Raw genomic sequence first — 7,977 nt, 5'->3', positions numbered from 1 at the left:
GCATTCGGTCATGTCTGTGAAGTGATTTTAAAGATGGAGAAAAGCTAAAACGCGTGTATGTTTTACAATATACATCTCTCATAATATCAACTGAAGCAATATTTAATGTTTCAGTCTACCACAGATCATTTATTTTCTAGCAAATGTCTTTCAGAAATGTTTTCAAGTTATGCTGCCATTAAAATATGGAGTAGAAAAAGAATGGAGTTTAGTGTCAGACAAAACTTGACTTTGAACACTGGCTCAGCACCTTACTAGCTGTGTGGCCTTGGGAAATTCATTTTACTTTCCTAATCTATAGTTGTCTCATTTCTAAAATAAATTCAGGAGTATTGGAAAGGAAATTTACCTCGTAGGGTTATTTACTGGATAAGGCAATAACGTAATATGATCAGTGTGCAGCACATTGTAAGTGCTCAATAAATATAATTTATTATTGTTTGTAAAAAATATTTATTGAGATATACTGATATATTAAAATTCTAGGAGGTCCTCAATACCTTTTCAATAAATCCCTTTCCTACTTAAATCAGCCACAGGCAATTTCTATTATTTACAACTAATAACTGGGAAATATATATGATCATAGCCAGGAAAAAGTATGCAGTTGACCTGTATTCTTCAAAAATGTCAATGTGGCTGGGCCCACATTAGAGGGGAAAAATTCTATAAAGAACCTTACTGGAACAATTGATGAAATTGGACTATGAACTGCAGACTAGGTAAAAGTTTTATATCAATGTTAAATTTCCTGAATTTGATAACTATACTGTGGCTATGTAAGAGAACCTTCTTGTTTTGAGAAAATATGCACAGAAATATTAAGGGGCATAATGCAGGCAACCTACTTTCCAATGGCTTAGAAAAGTAATTAAAATATCTATAAAATGTCTTTGTGCAAATGTGTATAGATGATAGACACATAGATGTTTATGTATACAGTTAATACCATACGTGTGTGTGTGCATGCATGCACACAGTCAGAGAGAGTATTAAAAATTATGGAAAATGGCAAAATTTATTGAATCTGCATAAAAAATAAATAGGAATTCTCAGCATACTTGCAACTTTTCATGGTTTAAAATTTTAAGTTTAAAAACCTACGTTTAAAATGTACATAAAGAAATGTAAAAGGTAGTGAAGTAGCCCCTGAAAAAAATTAGCTAACTATCCAGAACTTTGAGAAAACACACAAAATTTTTGCAAATTCTTTAGCAAATAATATCTGTTAAATGTTAAATGAATGTCTGCTCTCTAAATAACATTGAAATATATCAACTAATTCTTTTTGAAAATTGAGAATTAAAACATAAATGGTTTTCATGAGCAAGAAAAATTATGAACTTCAAGAGCTCAAAGGAACCATAGAGATTACCTAGTCCAGGTTTCTTTCAAAGACAGAAAATCATCCAAATTCCCTTAGGGACACGTCATCCACTCTTACTCTATGAGATAATCACCCTACACTAATTACTTGATGGTTTAAAATTATATATGGCTCATTATTCTGAAAACTAGTAAATAAAAGGAAAAACTCAACAATTTAATTCTGGCTTTTTGGTTCTAATTGTATTATCGGGTAACAAAAATCGTTGATAAAGGAAAGCTCTTCTTTGCAAGATAATTCCAGCTAATAGACGAAGAAGAAATGATAGGAAAAGAATATTGTCGTTTTTCAATTCTGATGAAATAATGGATCTAGGTAGTAATCATTAATGGCCACTAAAATCACTAAGTGAAAAGCTGACAGGGAATTATAATAAATCAGGCTGACCTCACTGATTAATTACAACATCACAAAAAAGACAATCAGATGTTATGTGTCTCCTAAATGGTGCACATAGGAAGTACACAACATCACCTGTGAATGCTATTTGAAGAAAGCAAAAATCCAAATCAGACCAAGCCTGTAGCTCTAACTCCCAGTTTAGAGGGTATATAGGGTTCAGATGAACATGTTTAGTAATACCATGAGGATAAAATTAGCAAAATCCAAAATGTGGGAAACTGCATGACAAAAAATCTAGTTTGTTCAACTAATCAATTTGAAAGAAGAGGAAGGGAGAATCTATAGATTAAAAGAGACTTAAACGACATATGACTCATTATAATTTATAGACTTGTTCAGATCTTTAATTTCAACAAACCAACTATTAAAAAATATTATATATTTTTTATATATTGCCTGATCCTTTTGAATCAGGCAATCAGATCAACACTAGCTGGATCTTTGATAATATTAACAAAGTGTTAAATATTTTAGATGTGATAGTGGTTTGTGGTTATGTTTTTCAGAAAAGAGTCCTATGGAAATCATACTTAAACATTTATAATTTAAATATTATGATGTCTGGAATGGGTTTCAAAAAAAATGAGGTAGTGAGGAAACGACGTGGATGAGAAGAATAGAAGACACAAGATTGACCACGTGTTGATAAGTGCTAAACCTGGAAGACAGGTGGGAATTTATTATACTATTTCCTTTCTTAATATGTTTTAAATTTCCATTATAAAATTGTAAACATTATTTTTAAAAGATTGAGGTAACTTTGTTTACTGAAATTGAAATACTAATACGTATGAGTTGAAAAGTCAAGGTCGATTAAGGTAGCTCTGTGCTGTGTTTACTGAAATTAAAATACTTATACATATTAGTTTTAAAATAATTTTTATTATGGTAAAATATACATAACATAAAAGTTACCATTTCAACCATTTTTAAGTGTACAGTTCAGTTGCATTAAATGCATTCACATGTTGTGCAAACATCACCACTATCCATTTCATGAAAGATGAACTTTTCATCTTCCCAAGCAGAAGCTCTGTGCCCATTAAGCAATAACTCCCAATTTCCCCTGGCCCCGGCCCTGGGAACCTCTATTTTACTTTCTGTCCTTATGAATTTGCTAAACCTAAGCATGCCACATGAGTAGAATCATATACTATTTATCCTTTTGAATCTGGCTTACTTCACTTAGCATGTTTCCAAAGTTCATCCATGTTGTAACACACATCAGAACTTTACTCCTTTTTAAGGCTGAATAATATTCTATTGCATGCGCATACCATATTTTGTTTATTCATTTATTTGTTGATGGACATGTGGGTTCTTTCCACCTTTTGGTTACTGTAAATAATGTTACATGAACATTGACGTACAAGTATCTGTTTGGGTCACTGCTTTCAATTCTTTTGAGTATATGCCTAGAAGTGGAATTGCTGAATCATATGGTAATTCTGCGTTTAACTTTCTGAGGGACTACTATACTGTTTTCAACAATGACTGCCATTTTATATTCCCAACAGCAACAAACAAGGGTACCAGTTTCTCCACGTCCCCACCAACCCTTGTTATTTTTCTTTTTTTTTAATACCAGCCATCCTAATGTGTGTGAAGTGGTATTTCATTGTGACTTTGATTTGCATTTTCCTAATGACTAGTGATGTGGGTTTTTTCATGTGCTTAATGCCCATTTGTATATCTTGTTTGGAGAGGCATCTATTCAAGACCTTTGTCCATTTTTATTTATTTATTTATTTATTTTTTTGAGATGGAGTGTCACTCTGTCACCCAGGCTGAAGTGCAGTGGTGCTATCTCAGCTCACTGCAACCTCCACCTTCTGGGTTCAAGCAATTCTCCTACCTTAGCCTCTCAAGTAGCTGGGACTACAGGCACACACTGTCAGGCCTCTGAGCCCAAGCTAAGCCATCATAACACCTGTGACCTGCACGTGTACATCCAGATGGCCTGAAGCAACTGAAGAACCACAAAAGAAGTGAAATAGCCAATTCCTGCCTTAACTGATGACATTCCACCATTGTGATTTTTTCCTGCCCCACCCTAACTGATCAATTGACCTTGTGACATTTCTTCTCCTGGACAATGAGCTCCCCACTGAGCACCTTGTGTCCCCCACCGCTGCCCGCAAGAGAAAACCCCCTTTAACTGTAATTTTCCACTACTACCCAAATCCTATAAAACTGCCCTGCCCCCCCCCCCACCGCCCAGCTCCCTTTGCTGACCCCTTTTTTGGACTCAGTCTGCCTGCACCCAGATGAATAAAAAGTTTTATTGCTCACACAAAGCCTATCTGGTGGTCTCTTCACATGAATGCACATAACACATGCTACCATGCCCAGCTAATTTTTGTATTTGTAGTAGAGATAGGGTTCACCATATTGGTCAGGCTGGTCTCAAACTCCTGACCTCAAGCGATCCACCCACCTCAGCCTCCCAAAGTGCTGGGATTACAGGCATGAGCCACCGAGCCTGGCCTGTCCATTTTTAAATTGGGTTGTTTTGGTTCTTGTTGTTGAGTTGTCAGAATGCTTTACATATTCTGGGTGTTTTAACTTTATCAGATATATAAATATTTTTCACCATTCTGTGTGTTGTCTTTTCACTCTCTTAAGAGTAACCTTTGATGTATAGAAATTTTAATACTGCTAAAGTCCAATCTATCTATTTGTTGTTGTTGTCTGTGATTTTGGTGTCATATCCAAGAAATTATCACCGAATTTAATGTCATGAAAATTTTCTCCTATGTGTTCTTCTGAGAGTTTTGTAGTTTTAGACCTTACATTTAGATCTTTGATGCATTTTGAGTTATTTTTGCATGTGGTATAAGGTAAGGGTCCAACTTCATAATTTTGCATGTAGATATTCAGTTTTCCTAGCATCATTTATTGAAAAGAAGGTATCAGTTTTTATTTAAGAAAATTAAAACCATATTCATATATTTCCACATAAAAACATAGTAAAATATCTGGAAAGATACACATTAAACTGTTAATAATGATTACTTCTGGGAAGGAAAACAACACTGGGGAGTAGGCTGTGCAAGAGCTATGGTTTTTGCTCTACGTAATTCATATTGTTTAGATTACTTACGAGCTCATATTCCTGCATTTCTTATATAATTATAAAAGGATTGTTTTGCTCTTGGTTTTAAGAGAAAGTTGGTCAGATGTGAAAGCACAGGACAAGTAGGCCAAGAGTCAATATTTCGGCAGGATAGAGATCCAAATTAAATAAAAACTCTGAGGCAGAAGAGTTGAGCGTGAGAAGGAATTAGCAGATCTCAAGGGTAATGCTGTTTGTCCAGATAATTTGGCAGCAGCAATAGCAAATAGGGACAGTAAAGAAGACTTGGTCTTAATTCTCAACCTTCCCCTACCATTCCCCACAATTTATTATATTTTTAATCTTCAGCTGTGTTTGGGTAGGTTATATTTTGCTAATATATGAAAGAGATAACTGAAGACTCAGAGGTCTCTGAACTTTACTACAGCAAAGCAGTCAGAGTTACAAAGAAGTTCTTATGCAATGGGTGTCTAGAGGATGGGAACTGGGCCATTTTGGCCAAATCAGAGGGTTTCAATAATGGGCAAGGTGGGGGAAGGACAGGAAAACAAAGAAGGCTTTTAAGCTTACATTAATTAGTATACATTTTATTCTAGGTTTTTCATCAAACGAATATCTTTTTTTTTTTTTTTTTTTTTTTTTTGAGACGGAGTCTTGCTCTGTCGCCCAGGCTGGAGTGCAGTGGCGCAATCTCGGCTCACTGCAAGCTCCGCCTCCTGGGTTCACGCCATTCTCCTGCCTCAGCCTCCTCAGTAGCTGGGATTACGGGCGTCCGCCACTATGTCCGGCTAATTTTTTTGTATTTTTTAGTAGAGACGGGGTTTCACTGTGTTAGCCAGGATGGTCTCGATCTCCTGACCTTGTGATCCGCCCGCCTCGGCCTCCCAAAGTGCTGGGATTACAGGCGTGAGCCACCATGCCCGGCCCAAATAAATATCTTAAGAAAGCAGTCTAACAATTGCATGTAATAAATAAATAAAATGCTTGTTGAATGAATGAATGAGACACAAGAATCTAAAGAGAGGAGATGAAGACAAGTGGATTAAATAAGAGTAGATTAACACCAGTAAGATATTAGTGTAAATAGAATGGTTTCAGTGGGGGAAGAAAATAAAGGAATGTGTCTAGACTTGTTCCCCAGTAACACTGGACAGGACCCCTATAAGATCAAAATTGTGAATCCTGGCCGGGCGCGGTGGCTCTCGCCTGTAATCCCAGCACTTTGGGAAGCCAAGGTGGGCAGATCACCTGAGGTCAGGAGTTTAAGACCAGCCTGGACAACATGGTGAAACCCCATCTCTACTCAAAATATAAAAATTAGCCAGGCATGATGGCAGGTGCCTATAATCCCAGCTACTCGGGAGGCTGAGATGGGAGAATCGCTTGAACCCAGGAGGTGGAGGTTGCAGTGAGCTGAGATCACGCCATTGCACTCCAGCCTGGGTGACAGAGCGAGACTCCATCTCAAAAAACACAAACAACAACAACGACAAAAAAGTGTGAATCCAGAAACCCATGACTTTTACCCTCCAGTAAGCTATCAGTGAAACTGACCCATCATTGAACTGACACTGTCTCACATTTCTTGGCCTTCTTTCTATTACCTTTCTGGCCAAAACTCTGTCATTGATGATTCTTCTCTAGCTGCCCTGTTCCTGCAGGGTTTTCTAACCTAACAGCAACTTGAAACCACCGGAGCCCAACCTGGAAATGTATTTCCAGCTCTTCATTTTTTTTTTTTTTGACACGGAGTCTCGCTCTATCACCAGGCTGGAGTGTAGTGGCATGTTCTTGGCTCACTGCAACCTCTACCTCCCGGGTTCAAGTGATTCTCCTGTCTCAGCCTCCCGAGTAGCTGGGACTACAAGCATGCACCACCACACCCACCAGCTGTCTTTTAACAGCCAATGTAGTTCATAAAGTGTTGTGTAGCTTTATGCTCAAGAGCATTTCAGCAGCACTATTACGTACCAGCTTCCTGTTTCTACCTGCCTAGAGGTATCAGCCTTCTCTTCTTGTACACTTCTGTCCGTTTCTTGGGTATGTGTTTTTTTTTTCCTATTTTCCCAAATTTTGGGTGCCCAGAATAAGCTTGGTCCTATGACCCAACCCACTGGCTAGTATACCTACTATGCTTTTGTAGATCCTATCAACATTTTGTCAGGGCACAGCCCTGCTGCTCATATCCCTGACCTTGCACTAAAATGACCTATCCCTTATAACAAAGTCCACCTCAGCTGCCTGAATTCCAAAATCAAGGCTGCATCCACTCTCCTTCGTTTGTCCTCCCAGATTAATGACCCATGTCTAGAATCAGACAAAAGTTTGACTACTGTATTAGTTTCCTTCTACTGCTGTAACAAATTACTACAGACTTGTTGGCTTAAAACAACATAAATTTATTACCTTACAGTTCTGGAGGTCAGAAGTCTAAAATGGGTCCCAGCAGGCTAAAATCAAGGTGTTGCCAGCACTGCATTCCTTCTAGAGGCTCCACAGAACTCACTGCCCTTCCTTTCCAGATTCTGGAGGCTGCCCGCATTCCTTGGTGGGTGGCCTCCTTCCATATCTTCAAAGCCAGTGACAGCTAGTGGAGTCTTCCTCATGCGGCACCACTCTAATTCTGCCATCATCACAGCTCCTTCTCTGATTCTGGACCTCCAGCCTCCCTCTTTAACTTTATAAGGGCCCTTGTGATTACATCATGCCCATCCAGATAATCCAGGCAAATCGCCTTGCCTCAAAATCCTTAGTTTAATCACATCTGCACAGTCTCTTTGGCCATGTGAGGTAACACATTCCAAGGTTCTGGGGATTAGGACATGGATATTTTTTGTGGTAGTGGGGAACCATTCTGCCTACCAAAAGCGCGCTCCAAAGTATTTATCTAAAGAAGTCACAGTCTTTCTATGGGGGAAGCAGTTATCACTTTAGTCCCTGAATTTACCCTGAACTCCTTATACCTCGTTTCTTTTCCCAGTTCATTCCCCAGAGCTCTCAGCATGCTGTGTGATCGGATGTTAGCTGATACTGACCAAAAATAAGAGTGTGGTACAAAAAAGCATGAATTGGATGTTCTGAGCCAAGAGGTTAAAAAAATAGTGAGGAAATA

Source organism: Homo sapiens, chromosome 2 (genome assembly GCF_000001405.40).
Source record: "Homo sapiens chromosome 2, GRCh38.p14 Primary Assembly".
NCBI classification, from domain to species: Eukaryota; Metazoa; Chordata; class Mammalia; order Primates; family Hominidae; genus Homo; species Homo sapiens.
Note: the sequence above shows the minus strand (reverse complement) of the source record.